At 37.5% G+C, this 20,431-nt stretch overlaps 2 long non-coding RNA genes across 8 annotated transcripts in view; one reads left to right on the plus strand and one right to left on the minus strand.

Moving 5' to 3' along the window:
• The window catches only part of LOC105375717 (uncharacterized), a 37,330-nt gene extending 34,028 nt beyond the window's left edge, over nucleotides 1–3,302 (plus strand). Inside the window, exons 5-6 of the long non-coding RNA XR_928573.3 lie at nucleotides 2,367–2,570; nucleotides 3,196–3,302. This is a non-coding gene — a long non-coding RNA (uncharacterized LOC105375717). The remainder of the gene's footprint in view (nucleotides 1–2,366; nucleotides 2,571–3,195) is intronic.
• LOC105375716 (uncharacterized) overlaps nucleotides 1–20,431 on the minus strand; it is a 436,284-nt gene that overhangs the window by 223,345 nt on the left and 192,508 nt on the right. The gene's annotated exons all lie outside the window — the stretch shown is intronic.

Below are 20,431 nucleotides of genomic sequence, written 5' to 3' on the forward strand. Positions count from 1 at the left end.
ATGTCCAATACAGTAGCTACTAGACACGTGTGACTATCAAGTACTTGATATCTGGCTGAGTAGCTCTATATTAAATTTTTTAAACTTTTCACTTCAAAAGTATAAATTCAAATAGACTTATGTGGCTAGTGGCTACTATATTGGTCAGGCCTAGGACAAAGTTCAGTTGGCTGTGGATGAACACCATGAGCATGAAAACTGGGAGGGAATTCACCTAGAAGGCTGAAAGTCAGGGAAAGGTAATTACAGTTTGACCAAAGGGGATGCTAGGGAAGGATGTGGATATCAAAGCTGACAAGTGATGCCAAAGAGAGCAAGTAGTTGGGGATAGATAGGAGGCAAAAGACTAATCGTCTGACTTCCTAGCTGTGTAAATCCTGCACTAGGGTGTCCTCACTGATTCTGAAATGAACAGGGCCTGGGCTTTGATCATTTGAATGCAAATTGCCATGATATTCTTTTATTAATGGCATAATTTGCCTCAGCATCCCTGCCCATTCCTAACTACCCCTCAGAATCTTCCCCAATCCCCACTATTACTTAAAATCTTCCTATCAATGTCCATCCACTGGCTAGATGAAATAGTCCCAACTGCTTAGCATTACTGCCTAGTGAATTGCTAGCACACTTAGTAGGCACTCCAATAGTTTGGCTCTTTGTTACCAAAATTTAAATTTAGTTAGCTTAATCAAAATGAGGAGTAAACAGGAAGAGTATTGGAGCATCTTATACAAGAATTGAGGATCCAAGCCACAGGAATGGATACTGCTAGACTTCTGCAAGAAATAGGATTCAGTCAGAATCTTCTGTCTCTCATTTCAGGACTTTGCTCTCCACTCTGTCCTTCTATACATTGGCTACCCATGCTTTGCCTTGCTGCATGGTAGAAAACATGCCTGCCAAGGACTTCAGCCAGTAAGGAAAGGCAGCGTGAGGCTCTCTATGTTCCCAAGTGTTAAAATATCAGGGAAGGAACTCTGACCCATCCTGATTCTAGTGCCCACCCCTTGATCTGTAGTGGAGAGAAACAAGGAGCAAGAACACGTTCAATTATTGGCATTTATACTGAAAATCATGAAGTTGGAATTGGGGGGAAGAAAGGACAATTCCCAGAAGACAGCAGGTGCTGTCTCAGGAAAAAAAAAGCAAGAGAAGTTAGAAAAACAAAATGGTAAGTTTCCATTGAATAAATAATAGGATAACATAACACACATAACAGATATTCATTAGCAAAGGCTATTTTTTTTTCTTTATAAAGCAGTCCAAGAATGATAAAACTTTGCTATCTGCAGAACTCGGATGATTTTTCCCCACTTATTAGGATCCAAAAGGAAAGCAACCAGATGCTTTAATTACTTTGATTGTGGAGGTAAAGGAAAGCCTTGCTTTTAAACGAACATTGTATTCATCCATTAATTGTGTCAGGAAATTGAAGAGACAGTTTGGCTTTATATTTGATTATCTCAATATCTATTGAATAAAAAAGTATTTTTGCTTCATTAGCAGTAAAATATATAGGAATCTTGATGGATCATGCTAAGTATTATTTCCTTACTTCTGGTCTTAATCACTATATTTAATAAGGAAAGGCCAGGTTCAATAAAGAATGCATCTGGCTTCAAATGATTAATCGATTTTTATAGAACTCACATGCTGGCGATTCTTTAGGAAATTAGAAAAGACACCATGAATCACAACTCCCTGCACACCCTCCCCTCCTACCCTCCAGCTTTGCTTTTACTAATCAGCCTCAATTGACTATCTTGGGGCATTTTTACAGAGGTACATTTTTTGTCTCTCATATCCTGAATTAATGCTGTAGGTAATTAGCTTCTGGGGCTGAGGTCTCTTTCATCCCCATGCAAGTCAACTAAATGGTTTTTCTTTTCGGCTTGAAATGTGAGTCTCTTCCTTTCATTCCCTCTTTGACTCTTCTCTCTGGTTACTTTAATTGGGATGTCAAATTGTATCGTTCTGTAGGAAGCTGAACTTTTTGAAATTGGTCCAGGACAGAGTTTTCTTGAGTCAGGGGGCAATTTTTCTTTGTAATGTCATTTTCAATTCCTTAAGGCAGGAGATGAATTAGTCTTGTGCATTAACAACAAGGAATGAGGCTGTGGCCGGCTGCCGATGCTGCAGATCCAGATGCAAACATGAAATCAGTAGGAGAAAAATACAAGTACATGTCAAGATTGGCAGAGTTGGCTTGAATGACTGAGGGACATCTTTTGGAAAGGGAATCTGAGCCTCAAAATGTAATTTAATTTAATTTAATTTAATTTAATTTAATTTAATCCTGTGAATTCTTGTTGCCAGGGAATTTAACTAAAGATATGCATGCATCTTATTTACTGCTGTATCTCTAGAGACTGGAACACGGATAACAAATACCTGCTGGGTTTGCTGCCACTACTACTTAATCCTTCCTCTATAGCTGGCATTGCTAATCACTCATGACACTTTCCTGCTGAGCCCACATGTAGACTCAGATGGCTACAGGCAGTAACCACCAATTGATCAGAGCTGGCACACAAGATGGAACCTATTTGCAATCCCTGGTCTAGAACATTGTAAGTACTTAATGAATACTTGTTGAATGAAGTAAATGAAGACATGTTTCTAGAGATGATGGGACATTGCGTTACTCCCTTCCCTTGCATTTAAAGTGCACTTTTTAGCTCAGACGGCCTCCAAGGAGTCAAATCTGGTATTATTCCATAATTTATGCTCACCACATTACCCTCTAACTTTGTCTAAAGCAGGGATAGAAATAATTGCCTTCAAGCCGTATTTATCCTAGCATGCAGGCACATCTGGGCATGTCTGAAGACCTGGTGAAGTGGGTCTGAAAATTTCATCCCAAAGCCTGAGAGCTGAGCATGTGGATTAGGCTCTACAGCAAGGGGCCAGAATGGAAGGGAAGTAATCATGGGTATCAAATGTGACACTCTGATAATTCGCCAGCTCAGGCACATGCCTACTTCTGAGGACAAGTGGGCTGCAAGAGGTCAGTTAAAAACCACAAAAGGCTAGGTCAATAAAGTGGTCATAATATGGTGCAAGTACAAGGCACTGGGCAGTGATAGGAAATGCCATCCTTATCAACCTTTTCAGCGCTGCTCCTTTGGCAGCATGAGTGTGCAGGGCAATGTTTAGCAGCAGCTTTTTGGCATCTTCCATCTTTATCCTAAACAGGTACCATCTCTACTGAGCTGCTGCTTTGGGACTGACTTTACCAGGAGGCTCACCACAGGGGGTTGGAGTAGTCCTAGAAGGTGAATAAATGGCAGAGCCCACATGGCATACAAGAGGACAAGGTTTGTCACTCACAGGTGAAACACCACTTAGGGACTCTCAGAATTACTTGGGGGAAATATTGAGGTAGTGCACAAGAATTCATGTCACGCATGTGTGGAGAGGTGAGAAGTGGTATTATGTTATCCTGATCCCAATTTACCTTCTATGAGCTAAAAGACTCAGGTTGCAAGCATTTTAAGGACTTTGCTATCTCAAGGACTTTGGGTCGAAAGGACTCAGGATGGAAAGCACTCACACACACACACACGCACAAATATTTCAAAAGAGAAATATTTTCTTCAGAGAAGCTTGATCATCAAAATGCATTAATTTAATACCTAATGATATGCAGCATTTAGCTTGCTACAAAGGGAATTCCACAGAATTCAGACACAGCCCTCCAGGAGGTTATACAAATCAAGAATACCTGTACACACTATAATGGTCACATGAAAAGCTCAAAGCAATGCAAGGACTGTTGGTGCAACATTTCTATCACATATAGGTCATTTTGCTAAGAGGATTGCAAACTGTTTTAAAGCACCTGAGAGTATTATCCAATTTTCTCTACAAAAATAAAGGCTCAGAAATTCGAAATTACAGGAGCCAGGTCTGTATGACTGTAGGAAAACCAAAGGAGTCTAGAAAATTTGATTAACTCAATTTGTCCCAGTTCCTTGGGGAGGCTTCAGAAACCAAAATTACTATTTAATAGTCCAGGTACTAAAGTTGGATAGAAAAGATCTTTCTGACCTTTCTGCAATTGTTTTTGAGACACAGTCTTAACTGAAAGGTCAGAACCAAGGGAAGAAGAAACATGACAGCATTATTGAGCCTCCGAAATAAAAAAATGTTTCCATCACCTCCAAACCTCCACCTTGGCCAAAATCAGAAAGCAATAAAAACAAGGATGTCCTAGAAAACTTTGATGTCCTTGAATTAGCCTTAATCATCCTTGATTTTTCTGCAGAATGAAGTAATGTGAGCCAGTGTGACATAAAGCAGTTCTTAGCTTTTGATTTCCGTTAAAATCACCTGGAGAGTTTGTTGTACCAGAGATTGTTGGGCCCCAACCACAAAATTTCTGATTTAATTGGTTTGGGTTGGGAACCAAATAGTTTCATGTCTAACAAATTCTTGGGTGATGTTTATGCTGCTGCACAGGGGCGTAGCACAATTTTGTAAGCCACTTATGAAATGACTGATCACTACTGTCTGATTCTGTTATTTCGTTGGGCTTGTAAAATGATGACTTTCAATTCTATATCTTTGTATTTTTTAGTGGGAACTACTCTCTTTTCATTATTATTATTATACTTTAAGTTTTAGGGTACATGTGCACAATGTGCAGGTTAGTTACATATGTATACATGTGCCATGCTGGTGTACTGCACCCATTAACTCGTCATTTAGCATTAGGTATATCTCCTAATGCTATCCCTCCCCCCTCCCCCCACCCCACAACAGTCCCCAGAGTGTGATGTTCCCCTTCCTGTGTCCATGTGTTCTCATTGTTCAATTCCCATCTATGAGTGAGAACATGCGGTGTTTGGTTTTTTGTCCTTGCGATAGTTTACTGAGAATGATGATTTCCAGTTTCATCCATGTCCCTACAAAGGGCATGAACTCATCATTTTTTATGGCTGCATAGTATTCCATGGTGTATATGTGCCACATTTTCTTAATCCAGTCTATCATTGTTGGACATTTGCATTTACCAGTGCAATGACCCTAATTGCTCTTTTTTTTTTTTTTGCCCTGCTTTAATTTTGTTCCAGTTGTTCTTAGATTTATTTTTACTATGCAATTTTCTTCTTTGGGAATAAATTGACAATTTTTGGTTTCAAGGCTCATAGGATCCTTTTATCCTATTTCTTTTTGTCACTAATGCCACAGAGATGCTGGTCCCTAAAGTCACTGATCATTTGGGTTGAAAAATTAACTACTGACAAGTACTCAAGAAAGGCTGCAACTAGATCCCATTAAATAGAAATTTCTGAGGCAAGTCATATAACATGCATGGCACAGAGAAAACTCCAAACCTGCAAATGAGTTTTTATCTTTATGTAAATTTCTATCCATCATTCAAGGCCCAGTGCAAATGTTCCCTCAGGAAGCTTTTCTTTTCCTGCCTACGTATCTACCTAAATTTAATCTTTTCCTCTGCATTCTCATCATATCTCCTCTTACTTACCTGTTACTTACTTGTTCTTGTTCTATCACCTCTGTTGTAGACCTTTTTATCTTTTTTGTAATTTTTCTGCTTATATAACTATTCAGGACTAGATTTTAAGCTACTCCAAGACATGTACACATTCCAATATTTTTTCATATCACCAAAGCCTAGAAGGCCCTCAAGTATTTAATTAAATTTATTATCAAATATTTATGAGTACTTGCTATGGATTAGGCACTGCTATGGATGCTAAAAATTCAAAAGTGAATAAAACTGCATCTATGTGGACAGACCTAGAGCAGTTACTGTCTGCTGCTAAGCTTTCCACTACAGATGCAAGTTTTTAAAAAAGTCCTTGTGCTTTCTATCTCATTGTGGCAGCCAATCTTGAATGGGGGAACACAGGAAAAAACACGGTCATACAGGGAAAAACATGGAAAGAAAAAAACATTTTTGCAATTCATAAGAATTTTCGTAAATCATAAAAAGCCTGTTTTACCAAAAACAGAATAAAAATTTTCAGTTTAAATAAAGTATGTAAAAAAAAATAAGCTCTGCCCTCTTGGAATTTTCATTCTAGTGTTGTAATAACAGATAACACCAAATTAAATGTCATGTCAGACAGTGGTCTAAGAGCATCAGGCATATGTTAATATGTTTAATCTTCACAACAACCATACAACATAGATACAACTATTGTTTTAGTTTAGATTCTCCAGAAGCAGTCCTGACATAAGAATTTATGTGCCAATAGTTTATTTGAGTAGCTATCCCAGGAAACACGATAGGCAGTGGGTGCGATAGGGGAGAAAAAAAGATAATAAAATACAGGTTGTCAAGTGAGTTATCATAATATGTAACTGGAGCTTAATCTCATTGAGAAACAATAAAATATAGGCAGAATAAACCTTAGCGTTATATCAAACTAGGGGTGAGGAAGATGAGATATTTGTCTACTATCTCTGTGCCTATTATTGGTTGAGTGCTCCTCCTGAGTCCTCTGGATGGGCTGACTGTACTTCTATGACAAGAGGAAAAAAAAGAAAGAAAATAAAAGCTCTTCAGCAGAGATTCGTAAGAGTTTTATCGTTAGCAGCCTTCAGGACATACAGGTAAATGCTAAGGGGATGTGGTGGGACAACAATTTTTGTTGAAATGATGTTATTCCATTTTACAAATGAACAAACTGAGGCACATGGCGGTTAAATGACTTCCTAGAAATATAGACCTAACAACTAATAGAGCAAGAGTTTAAATCCTTGAAGTCTTGCTCCAGAGTATGTGTTCTTAACCATTATACTATGCCCCATCACAATATGGAGAGGAAAGAAGAATGAAAGGAAGGAAAGAAGAATGAAAGGAAGGAAAGAAGAGAGGAAGGGAAGGGTTATAGTTCCTCATGAACATATTTTATTTCTACTACTAGGCTTATGCTTCTAGAGAGTAGAACTCAGATTTTATTCCTCTTTATTTCTCTCCTTCAGCCAACTCTTCAACCTACCCTGAACACTGCCAAAAAATGTCTTGCACAAAAGAGATAATTATAAGGCCCTCATCACTAGGATTTTTATTATTAAAAACTATATTTTTAATTCATTATACAGTGTAGACTAGCAGGCTTTGTAGTCAGAAAGACTTGTATGAATAATTTATTCTCAACATTTCACCTTCCACAGTTCATAATGGGTGCTTCATAAATGGTTTCCTATTTGTAATATTACATGACATTTTACAATTTACAAAAAAAGTTTATATTTCCTTATTCTATTTATCTCTCCATGAGTTACTTCATGTGCATATTCCTATTTGCACTCTCAATTGCCCTAAATTGTATGGAAGAGATAAACAAAGGTCATAGTCTGTAAAAATAAAAATAAAGATGTGTTTTATTAGATTATTTTTTAGCAAATATTTTCTCTCTGTCTCTCCCATGGGGTAGAGTATATTTTCCTGGTCCACTGACTTGAGAACATGTGATTTGTTTTGACCAAAGGAATATGAACAAAAGTGGTAATGCGCCAATTCCAAGAAGAGGTTTTAAAAATCACAGCTAGGCCGGGCGCGGTGGCTCACGTCTGTAATCCCAGCACTTTGAGAGGCTGAGGCGGGTGGATCACGAAGTCAGGAGATCCAGACCATCCTGGCTAACACAGTGAAACCCCGTCTCTACTAAAAAAATACAAAAAAATTAGCCGGGCGTGGTCGCGGGCACCTGTAGTCCCAGCTACTAGGGAGGCTGAGGCAGGAGAATGGCGTGAACCTGGGAGGCGGAGCTTGCAGTGAGCTGAGATCGTGCCATTGCACTCCAGCCTGGGCGACAGAGTGAGACTCCGCCTCAAAAAAAAAAAAAAAAAAAAATCACAGCTAGTTTTCTCTAGCCCTATTGTGTTTCTGCATTTTGCCATGGGATGAACATGACCATGATTCTGCATCTTGATCTTAGGTTCTGGAAGGAAAGGTACAAGGAGCTGACATGAACCTGATTTTTAACCTGAAGCAGACAGAGTTGGGACCAGCTGGCCTGCAGTCCTGTGAGCAAGAAATCGATGTGCATACTCATGAGTAAACCATAAACATTTGCTGTTATAACCCAGGAAGCTTTGGGAGTTGATTTTTATGTGGTGTTATGGCAACAATTGTTGATGAATGTGGGTATACAGTATTGGAAGTTCTCATGTGTCTTTGATGGCCAGCCTCTCAGTGCTTACAGAGCTCCTCAGCCTCACCAGATATTTCCCACTTGAATAATGAAGTTGTATGGTTGGGAATAGACATTTTGGCTATTTGGGTCAATAGGTTTAGGACCTTTGGAGGATTCAAGACTGGTAGAAAACCACAGCATGGTCTAAGATGCAGGTGTTCATGCCTGCAGGTAAGTAGATGCATCATTAACTTCAATAATAATAAATAAAATTTAAAGAGATTTTTCGATTATCATAAACTGAATGAACTAAAATTAACTTTCTAACAAATAGCCACAAATTTCTAGCGTGTTTATCTTTCCCATATGTTTCCCAGCTCTGCTAAGTTGGAAGCCTCAAAACCATCAACCAATAAATCATTCCTTGGGTTTCACTTTGGGGACCAATTAAAACTATCAACATGTTTTCTTCCATTACACTGGGAGTTTTATCTCCAGCTGTTGGGATCTGAGCTTCTAAAAGTATGAAGCATGACTACCCAGGGAAAAGGCACGTGAGACAATTGGAGGAAAATAGACTCTATTGAAAGCTAGTTTATGTAAGCTTAGTGCTTCCACCCTCCTCACTTCATTCAGAAGGCACAAGCTTTACTAAACATGTGGTAAATAATACAGCTGGCACCACAGCAGGAAAGGTGCTGCCCCTAAACCTGGAGGGAGAGCTCCTGGCAGATAATCCAAGGGCTGGTAATTTATCACTTATGCAAACACAGCACCTCTTGTGGGTCTCCTTTTACATCTCCTGTTCTGTGAAACTTTCCACTGAAGACTTGGATAAATGTTTTCCAGATGGTATCAATCATGGAGTTACCTACTAATAGGAATCAAGGAAAAGTCATTGAATTAATTAGCAAGTCAAACAGGAAAGGAAGAAGGACTGTGCTTGAAAGTAGAAAAAGAAGAGACCACTTGGAATTATCTAATCATCTAGAAACAAGGTCATTCAGGAAAAGGGGGCTTGATTAAGCATCAGGAAACCTGAGACCTGGCCAACAGCCTGGTTCCTCCAAATCACAGGCTTTGGAGTCTAACAGATAGAGGTTAGAATCTCAGCTCAGTCTCTAACTATGCATAGTGGGCAAGATTCTTGGCCTCTCTGAGCCTCTGTTTCCTCATATGCTAAGGGAAAAAAGGATGAAATATGCAAACTATGTAATACCATTTTACAGACTTAGATGTGTAGCATGTGAAGCACTTAGCAAAGTGGCTACCAATAGGCGGCACTTAAAAAAAAAATTCTTTACTCTCACCTGTGATCAGTTAAATGATTGGAAAACTATTCACCCCTGTCTGAAACTACACCATTGCCATGATCACATCTTGAGCAGAGTGCACTTTCCCACTCCTTGCTTTGGGCTGACTACATGATTTGCTTAGACCAAGCAATGTGGGTGGAAGTGACAATGGGCTCGTTTTTAGACCAGGACTTAAGAGGCATTATGTTTCTACTTGCCCTTTGCACCTCCCCCATCACCACAAGAAAAATATACCCAGGCTGTCTTGCTGGTCCAAGAAGGAGGATAAAAGACACGAGAAGCAAAGCTGCCAACCCCAGGAAGCAAAGCTTCCAAACCCCTCCCAACACGAAGACATGCGAGTGATAATAAATAATGGTTGTTTTTAGCCACTGAGTTTTGACGTGGATTAATTTCAGCTGCTGTATCTCACAGATTATGTTATCTCACATTCCTTCTCTGGGTTCTAATTGCATATCTGCTCAGGACTTACTAAATGAATATCTTTTACAATGCTGATATTAGAGGTAAGGCCCAGAAAATGGCAAGCTAAAGATGTCCCAGAAACTTCTACCGTATAGTTGGCTTAAATCTTAAACTCCAAACTTAGATGTGTAAGAAAAGTAATTTAACTTGGTTATGACAAGACCTTTTTATTTTTTAACAGTTTTATTACAAATCCCCTATTTTGCTGGTTAGCAGAAACATCTCTCAGTCAATTCAGGGTTTCTCCTCCCTTAAGGATTGGGTTTAACTTTAGGAGGCTCTGCATGATGAGGAGGTGGAAGGTGTTGGGAGGGAGAACCAGGGCACTGTCGTTCCTGTTGTTGATCTCTGCAGTGCTCTCTCTTGGTCTACGTAAGTGAGGATCTAAAATCTGATTCATTCTTGGGTAATCTTCTTTTAGAAGCCCATGATTAGACCCAACTGGAGGAAGTTTGGAGCTTCTCTCAGACATGTAAGAATTGTTCTGAAGAATCTGCATCTTGTTGGGTGAAGGACTTCAGAATGTGCAATAAAAATGCAATAGTCTTGGACCTATGTAACTGGAAGGAACTGGTGGACAAGCTCTTACTGCTTCTCCAGGTTCTCACAAGAAAGCAGGCATGGATTCCTTTTGCACAGCTCCTCCAGGCTTTCTGGGCCCTGTCATTCCTTCTTCTATCTTCTGGGTTGAGCAACATGCAATCTCCCCTTGTGCAGAAGCCCAAATAGCTACTGAAAATGTGTCCTCTCTGACTTTCCCCATTTCTTGAACTCTGAGAGACTTTTTCTAGTATCAGTTCTGAGGAGCATTGCTGTTTTCCTTCCTATCATCTGGAAGACCTAGACTTTAAAACTCAAAACCTGAGAAAAACTTCCTTTTTTTTCTCTCTTTTGTCTGGATCATCACTACCTTGAAATACTAAATTAGCAAAGTCCTAACTAGAAACTGAATTGGCTAAAGAGTCAAGGAGCAACAGGTAATTCCAAGAAAAACAACAGCAAACTTACATCAGTTAACATTTCAAAGCTATTTTCCTTTGCAATTTTGTGTATCTGTTTTTATGGAATGCAAGAGATAATAGGCTAAATGCTATTTTGCATATGTGTTACATTGGATTTCTCACATATTCTACTACTTAACTCAAGATGTTGAGTAAATAAATGAGTTAATAAACTGGAATTTCTATATCAGCTCTTGGTTCTAGTTATGTTTCGTTTGTTTTGGATTTTTTTTCTTTTTGAATGCTTATTCACTGGCCCAGCTGTATTTATGCCTAGATTAACCAGATACATTGCCAGCTGTGATTTGCAGATGTGCTCCAGCTCCACAATGCCAGAAAAATTCAATTATGCCTACTAAGGTCATCGCTATAAATCACAACCACACTGACATTTTATGGTGAATAGTGGCAATCGAAATACTTAGCCAGCAGCAGATTGTAACTGCTTATATTACGATGGCCGAAATAACCATGTGTGAAACCATTATATTAGTTATATTTACAGCCAAATCAAACCAGGCAGTGGTCCAAGCAATGGGTTGGCAATCAGCCCGATTCAAGCTGAGCAAGGGTGATTTCATGCTGCAAAATGTGAACAAAAACATGAGCCATTACAGCATGTATTGAGAGTTCAAGTGGAATAGAACCTCTCAGACAGTGTAGACATTCGAATGAATAAGCTGGTTCCCAAATATTTACCTCAATTTGCAAGTGTGTGTTAGGTACAAGATAGGATTCTGAGACGCACTACCTCCCTATGGGACAGACTTAGAGAGATATTTTCAATATATTATGTTCCTTAGAATATTAGTATCCATAAAGTACTTCATAGCTTTTATTTTAGGCCATGACCAAGTATAAGGGAAATGATTTACCTTGTTACCTTAAAAAAACTAAGCAAACAAGCAAAATATATGAAATAATGGTTTTCAGACATTTGGAAAGAGGCTATGCAAGAGAATGAGACAACAGAAACAGATGAGAGGAGGCTTATGTTTTCCAATTTACTAGCTGGAGAGTTTTTACGTTGTTTTGCAGGAAAGGGAAATCCAAACAGTGCCTGGCAGTCTCCCTGAGGTGACCAGAGAAAGTTGAGAACTTGTACATTCCAAGGTGGCTTTAACTTACAGAGACAACAACCAGGCACGAAACTGCTTCACAGATAAGAGAGGCCTGCAAAGACAGAGAGCTCTGGGGATTTGCAGAGAGTTCCTTTGGAGACTTCGATTGAATACTACTCAGTGCATATATGTGAGGAAAGTCACTAGGACTAGAAAAGGAATCAACGGCAAGGATTCAAAGGAACAACCCCTGAGATTCCCACAGAGCCTGGAAGAGTTTATGCTTCTACCTGCTAAAGTTGAATGAACATTGTAATACAAGGGAGCATCAGGTAGAGTACTCTAAGTATCACCTGAGCACTGGGGCAGAATTAGCCTTTGACTGAAGTCTTCTGATCCCACCTTAAAATCAAGCCTTGAAAGGATCAATAATTTCCATGTAACTTAATTGTGCCCCAGAACAAAGATCAAGAATATTTAAAGGTACACAAAACTAGCAAACAAGGTAACTTGTACAATGTCAGGCAGCCAATAAAAATTACCAAGCAGGCAAAGAAGCAGGAAAATATGATCTGTCATGAGAAGAAAAATCAATCAGTAAAATAGATTCTTGAAACATGCTAAAAATAGCAGAAAACATTGAAATATCTATTACAACTATATCGCAGATAATCAGAAAGGTAGAATAAATATGAGGATATTAAACAGAGACATGGGAGGTATAAAAAGGCCCAATGTAAACTTCTAGAGATGAAAAATAAAATGTCTGAAATGAAGAATGAGATTAATAGCAGATAAACAATGCAGGAAAAATGTTAATAAATGCACAATTAAAACTGCATGTGAATGTTCACTGCAGCACTGCTCACAATAGCAAAGACATGGGATCAACCTAAAAGCCCGTCAATGACAGACTGGATAAAGAAAATGTGCTGATATGCACCATGGGATACTATGCAGCCATAAAAAAGAATGAGATCATGCCTTTTGCAGGAACGTAGGTGGAGGTGGAGGCTGTTATCCATAGCAAACTAACTCAGGAACGGAAAACCAAATACCACATGTTTTCACTTATAAGTGGGACCTAAATGATAAGAACACATGGACACAAAGAAGGAAACAACAGACACTGGGGTCTACCTGAGTGGGGAGGGTAGAAGGAGGGAGAAGAGCAGGAAGATAACTAGGCTTACTACATGGGTAATGGGCTACTAGTACATACTGGGCTTACTACATGGGTGATGAAACAGTATGTGCAAAAAATGTCCATGACATGTGTTTACCTCTGTAACAAACCTTCACTTGTACTCTTAAACCTAAAATAAAAGTAAAAAGAAACTGCTCAAAATTAAATAGACAAAAATGACTTTAAAAATATAGTAAAGCAATGTGAACTGTGGACAGCTTTAAGATGCCTAATATGTACATAATTGAAATCTCTGACATGGGAATGATTACCACAAAAAGTATTGGAAGAAATGCCAATTTTTCCTCTAAATTGGATGAAAACTATAAACCCAGAGATGCAGGAAGCCCAGTACACTCTGAGCACAATAAAACTACTCCAAGGTACATCCTAAGAAAATGATTAAAACCAATCATCAATGGGAGCCTTAAAAACAGAGAAAATACACACATTTCAAAAAGAAAAACAAAACAAATGAACAAAAAACAGAAAAAAATAACTATAGACTTCTTGTTGGAAAAAATGTAAACCTGACAGTAGTGAGGCAATATTTTTACAGACCTCCAAAAGTTTTGACTTAGAGCTCTATTTCCAGTTGTATTAGTCCATTTTCATGCTGCTGATAAAGACATACCCAAGACTGGGCAGGTTACAAAATAAAGAGGTTTAATGGACTTACAGTTCCATGTGGCTGGGAAGACCTCACAATCATGGTGGAAGGCAAGGAGGAGCAAGTCATGTCTTACATGGATGGCAGCAGACAAAGAGCTTGTACAGGGAAACTTCCATTTTTAAAACCATCAGATGGGTTCCTCCTATGACACATGGGTATTGTGGGAGTTACAATTCAAGATGAGATTTGGGTGGGGACACAGCCAAACCATATCAACAGTGAAAATATCTTTCAAAACTAATGGTGAAATAAAGACTTTGTGAGACGTATGAAAGCAGAAAGGGTTCATTATCAATAAACCTCAAATATATGAAATGTTAAAGGAAGTCCCTTAAGGGGAAGAAAAGTGATATCAGATGAAAATCTGGATTTACACAAAGATGAAGAAAACTAGCATATATTAAAAACATAGGTAAAGATAAAACATTCTTTTTAATTTTATAACTTACTACTTAAATAAAAATAATAATAAATTGTGGATTACAAAGAGAAATAAATCATTGTATTAAAAAGACACTTGCACTTATATGTTGAAAACAGCACTATTCATAATAGCAAAGACATAGAACCAACCAAGATGCCCAATGGTGGACTGGATAAAGAAAATGTGGTACATATACACCATGAAATACTATACAGCCATTTAACAAAGAATGAACTCATGTCCTTTACAACAACATGGATGTAGCTGGAGGCCATTATCCTAAGTGCACTAATGTGGGACCAGAAAACCAAATACTGCATGTTCTCACTTATAACTGGGTGCCATATATATATATATATAAACAGATATATTTTGAAACAGAGTCTTGCTCTGTCACCCAGGCTGGAGTGCAGTGGCATGATCTCAGCTCATTGCAACCTCTGACTCCTGGATTCAAGCTATTCTCCTGCCTCAGCTTCCTGAGTCGCTGGGATTATAGGCATGTGCCACCACACCCAGCTAATTTTTGTATTTTTAGTAGAGGCAGGGTTTCTCCATGTTGCCCAGGCTGATCTTGAACTCCTAACCTCAGGTGATCCACCTGCCTCAGCCTCCCACAGTGCTGGGATTACAGGCGTGAGCCACGGCGCCCAGCCAGGGCATTACATATTGAATACACAAGTATGCAAAGATGAGAACAATAGAACTGGAGACTGCTTGAGAGGGGAGGTGAGAAAGGGACACGGGTTGGAAAGCTTCATACTAGGTACTATGATCACTACCTTGGTGATGGGATCATTTGCACACAAAGTCTCAGTGACACAAAATTTACCCCCTGGACCTAAAATAAAAGTAGAAAAAAAATCATGGGCTATAGAATATGTAGAAGTAAAATGCCTGTCAAATACAGCACAAAGGTCTATTTAAAAAGGGAAAATTGAAATAAACTGTTTTAAGTTTATTTTACTATATAGAAAGCTGCGTAATATTAATGGAACACAGACAAGTTTTATTGAATAAACCCTAAAGCAACCATTATAAGAACAAAACTGTTCACCTAGTAAGCCAAGAAAAGAGAAGATAAGATCATAAAAAATACTCAATTATTCTAACAGAAGGCAAAAAGAGGAATGGACCAAAAAACAGATTAGAAAAATATGAAACTAATAGCAAAATGTTATAAATTTAACCAATAATCACATTAAATGTAAATCATTAAAATCTGCCAATTATAGGGCAGAGATGGTCAGATTGAATAAAAAGTCAAGATCCAACAATATGCTACCTATAAGTCATACTGTAAATAAAATGACGCAAATAGGTTGAAAGGAAGTAAAAAGATATACTAATGTAAGTTTGGTTCAACATTTGAAAAATAATTCAATGTATTTCACCATATTAACAAACTAAGAAAGAAAAAATGATAATTTCAATCAACGTTAAGAAAACAAAATGTTCACAGCAGCTTCATTTGTAATAGAAAAAAAAGGGGGGAATACCATTCATTTGAATGGATAATCAAATTGTAACATATCTATGTAATAGAATATTATCTAATGTACTAATCAGAATTCTCTAGAGAAACATAAAACATAAGGATATATATATATTTTATATAATATATATATAGAGAGAGAGAAAGAGAGAGAGAAAGAGAGAGAGAGATTTATTATAGGAATTGATTCACATGATTATGGAGACTGAGAAGCCCCACAATCTGCCATCTGCAAGCTGGCAGGAAAGGTAATTATATAGGTAAATGTAAAAACAGTATAGTGTATTTTTTGTGTTTTTAATCTTCCTTTTGTTTGAATTAAAAAGACAACTACATAAAAGCAGTAATTATACAATATATAAAAATGTAGTTTTTGTGACTAACAACACAAAGGCAGAAAGGGGGACAGAGCTATCATGGAGGAAAGATTTTGCATACTGTTGAAATCAGCATGGTATTAATCCAAATTAGATTGTTATAAATTAAATTATTAAGTGTAATCCACAAGAAAACCACTAAGAAAATAACCCAAAATACATAATAAAAGAAATAACATTGGCATTAAATGGTGCAACAATGGAATTAAGTTAAATAGTACACAACAGTGAAATTAAAAGAAAATTATTTATTTAACATAAGTTAGTAATGGAAGAATAGAGGGAAAAAATAAGACACATAGAACAAATAGCAAAATGACAGACATAAATCATATCACTTAAGTAATACATTAAGTGTAAGTTGATTAAATACTCTAATCCAAAAGCAGAGATTGGTAGAATGAATAAAGAAAAAACAATTCTATTTCTAATATATGTAAAAAGGATAAAATGCTTAAGAGTAAATGTAACAAAAGAAGTGCAAAACTTGTATATTGATAAACGCTCCAACACAGATGAACCTTGAAAATGTTATGCTAACTGGAAGAAGCCAGACACAGAAGGCCAGATATTATATGATTCCACTTATGTGAAATGTTCAAAATAGGCAAATCCCTAAAAACAGAAAGTAGATTAGTAATTTCTAGGGAGTGGTAGGAGGGGAAGGATTGAGGATTAACGGCCAATGGACATCAGGTTTCATTTGGAGGTAAGTAAAATATTGCAGAATTAGATAGTCATAGCGTTGTACATTGTAAAGCTCTGTGAATATACTAAAAACCACTGAAACGTACACTTTAAAAGGATGAATTTCATGGTATGCAAAGTAAACAAATTAATTATTAATTAAAAATAATCAGCTATTTTAAAGTAGATTTACAGGGGATAGTGAAAATATAGAGATCAAGTGTTTTATAGAGTTAGAAAGGCTAACTGTTTCTGGATTCCCTATAGTAAGATTGCAAATTGAAAAAGGTCTTAAGCATAAAAAGCTCAATATGACTCTCAGCTAATAACTCCCTCTGAGACAAAGACCAGTTAAAAGAGTTACTTCCTCACCAAATCTCATGTTTTGGGTAGCTAACAAGCAGTTTCCATTAAGATGAGAGAAAATAAGAAAGCATGGGAAAGACAGAAAGGCATTGGGGTAAAGGAGAAATAAGGCAGGACTAACAATTGTATATATAAAAAAATTTGACTGTGATTACTGATATATAAAAGTAAATGGAAATATTTAGATTAGAAACTGCCAAGTTTTGAAGAATCTTTTATTGCAGAAGAATCCCAAGCCAAGTCTAATAATCTTGTAATTATTTGCTAGGCTTTAAAACTGTCATGGTAGATCCAAACTAGCATGGGCAGGAACACCAGCTTCAAGTATGAATAAAGAAGAAATTTGTAAAGGGTGGAGCCAGGAGCGCCAGGGAATTTTAAATTGTAGCTATTCTATACAGTCTTCATTATTTTATATTTAAGTGTTTTGGAGCAGAAGTATGTAGAGTAACTCATCTCTAGTTTTACAGGTTGCTGGGCCAAAAGGAACCACATCTGTACACAGCAGAAGGACTGTACATCACCTATAGATCCTGGTCATGTTGTGCATTGAATGGATGGGACCTAAAGTGTTTACCTTGATAGAAAGTAAGTCAGTTCTGTTTCTTGGAGAAAGAATGTGGCAATAAAAGTCAGTCATTGCTATGTTCATCCAAGCCAATTTTCATTTCTTCCTAAGTTAGACTGCATTTCCAAACCTTCCTTACAGTTAGGTGTGGCCAAATAACCCATGGAATGTGGGCAGGCATGATAAGTGCTTTCCACATGCTTTCTAAAAAAACTCCTCATTATCCTCCACTCTTTTTTTTTTTTTTTTTCATCATCTGCCCAATGAAGGGAGAGACCAAGGACCTACAGGAGGGCAGGTCAATAAGACCGAAAGAGCCTGGGTCTGTGAGTCACCACATGAAGGAGAATAGATCATAAGATCTCCCAGACTAGGGGGGACCTCATCAGATTGCTGCATGAGAAAGAATTTTTATTGTGTTAAGTGATGACATTTGGGGTTCTTTATAATAGCAGACGGTATTGCCTTAACTAACACAGTCTTATAGGTTAATAAATTTAGAAAACGCTAGTCTTACAAAGAAAAACTGATCCGCATCAGCCTTTGATTTGCTGCTGGATATGATAAGTTTTTACAACGAACAGGTCATATAGAGTATTTTCCTAGTTATATGACCACAAGACCCATTTTTCACTTAGCCTCCAGAATGACCATGAAATTTCTCCTCAAGAGAGAAAGGGGAAATTGGCTGGGTTCAAATTTTTAGAAAAGACACACATTTAGGAAATAGAAGGAAATAAAATACTGAAAAAATAAAGAAAAGAAACAGAGAGGAAGAAGTATGAGTGTTAGTACAAGGGTTCTCTAGTGGGAGAGTTTTAAAAGGAAGCAAACATTACCTAACAATGCCAAATGTTCACAGAGATCAAGACCAATGGGAGGTCACTAAGACCCTGTGAGTGAACAGAAAAGTTAGTAAGGTTAGAGCTATAAAGTTAAGTCATTATACTGGGAAGGGTGAACTCTGTCTAGACAGTCATAAACTTTCCCTTTATACATTCATCAAATAATTATTGGATACCTAACTGCATTTCAGGTTTAATTCAGAACCCAGAGCATACGATGACGATGCACTCTAGATAAGACTTTGCCTGAACTAACAGCTGGCTCCTTAGAACTTGGATATCTCTTAATTTCTTAGAGATGTTTCTAATATCTGTAAGAACAGAGACAAGTCCTTACACTCTCTGAGCTTCAGTTTCCCCATCCATGAAACAGAGAAAATATTAATATTCTGCCCCCTGACATCATAAAAAAGCTTGCAAGAGATCTTTGAAAGCTATTTAATCCACACCTGCCATTCTTACCCACAGCATTTACACAGGCCCACATTGGTGCACAGGCACACACACACACACACACACACACACACCCCAGATTCCATAAATTGTAACACAAATTATAACTTTGTTCTTTTTATCAGAAACAGGCAAGCATTTCCCATCTTTAACAGATTAAAGACATTTTTATTGGTTACAATGTCATTTCTGAAGCTTGAAATTAACATCAGCCCACTGTCAGTTTAATCCCTTTCCATTTGTCAGATGTTCAATACCATTCCAGTTTCAAAGGGAGGTGAAAATAAAACTAGCTGAACGTGTGTGGCCCTATTGTGTGTGGTTATTGAAACACTGAGACTACATCGGGCTGACCGCAGCTGCCTCGGCTGCTGCTAAGATTATTGGAGCAGCTTATAGGTTGCTTGTAAGCATGTCTCCAACATGCATGCTCATCTGGGGTTTAACTTCTTAAAAAGTTTCTGGGAATATATTGAAGTAGAGCTGAGGATAGGAAAAGTGGTAGTTTGGAAAATGAAGAAACAAACACTCGACCGTGATTAAAGATTTGTTTTCAAGTCAAAATTATAGCACACTCAAGCCAATTTTAACAAAATAAACATCTGCTCTTTAAGGAATCCAGGGGAAAAGTCGCCATTAAATTTTACTCCTGCTGCCCTTGTTTCTCAGGCATTGCTATATCCTTGTAGTAGAGATATTTTATTGGTTCAAATTCCTACCGTCTGTAGTTAAAGCAAAGGTATTCTCTATAACTTAGCCAAACTGCGAATGTCATTTGTCTTCTGTGATGATTTCCACAAGGAATTTAAAATATCTGAGGTTCCTCTAAGGTCAGACTGGACTGAAGTTGTGTTAGGAACCAGAAAGGTGATCAATATTTGTCTGGAATCTGGATCCAGGAATTTGTCTGTTTCCTTCTTATAATAAAAAGGTGCTAAATGTTTTACCCAGGTTATCTCCAGATTATCAAAAAGCCCTCAGTGGTTGGTAATACTGCTCCAGTTTTACAAACCATGATTCATATTATTTTACAATTTGTCCATATTTATGTAGCTAGTAAGTAGCTAAGCTGAGATCCGAATGTATTTCATCTGATTCTGAGTGACCCTAGACACTCTACCACTTGATCCAAGATGACATATGCGCATCCATTTTCCATATGAACATATGTTAAATGAAGATAAAGGCTCTGACTTATCTCATGTTACTTGCAATTATTTAAAAAATATTGTTTACTGTTCAAAAATAAGACACATAACTTCAAAATCATTCACTAGAAATATAGAACAAACCAGAAAAATATGTTATTAACCTCTTCCACAAAAAAGTGTTCTCTCCAAAGATTTCTAAATATTACTTGCTTCCATGGGACAATAACTCATCCCAAAAAGCTACTGTAC

Source organism: Homo sapiens, chromosome 8 (genome assembly GCF_000001405.40).
Source record: "Homo sapiens chromosome 8, GRCh38.p14 Primary Assembly".
NCBI lineage: Eukaryota > Metazoa > Chordata > Mammalia > Primates > Hominidae > Homo > Homo sapiens.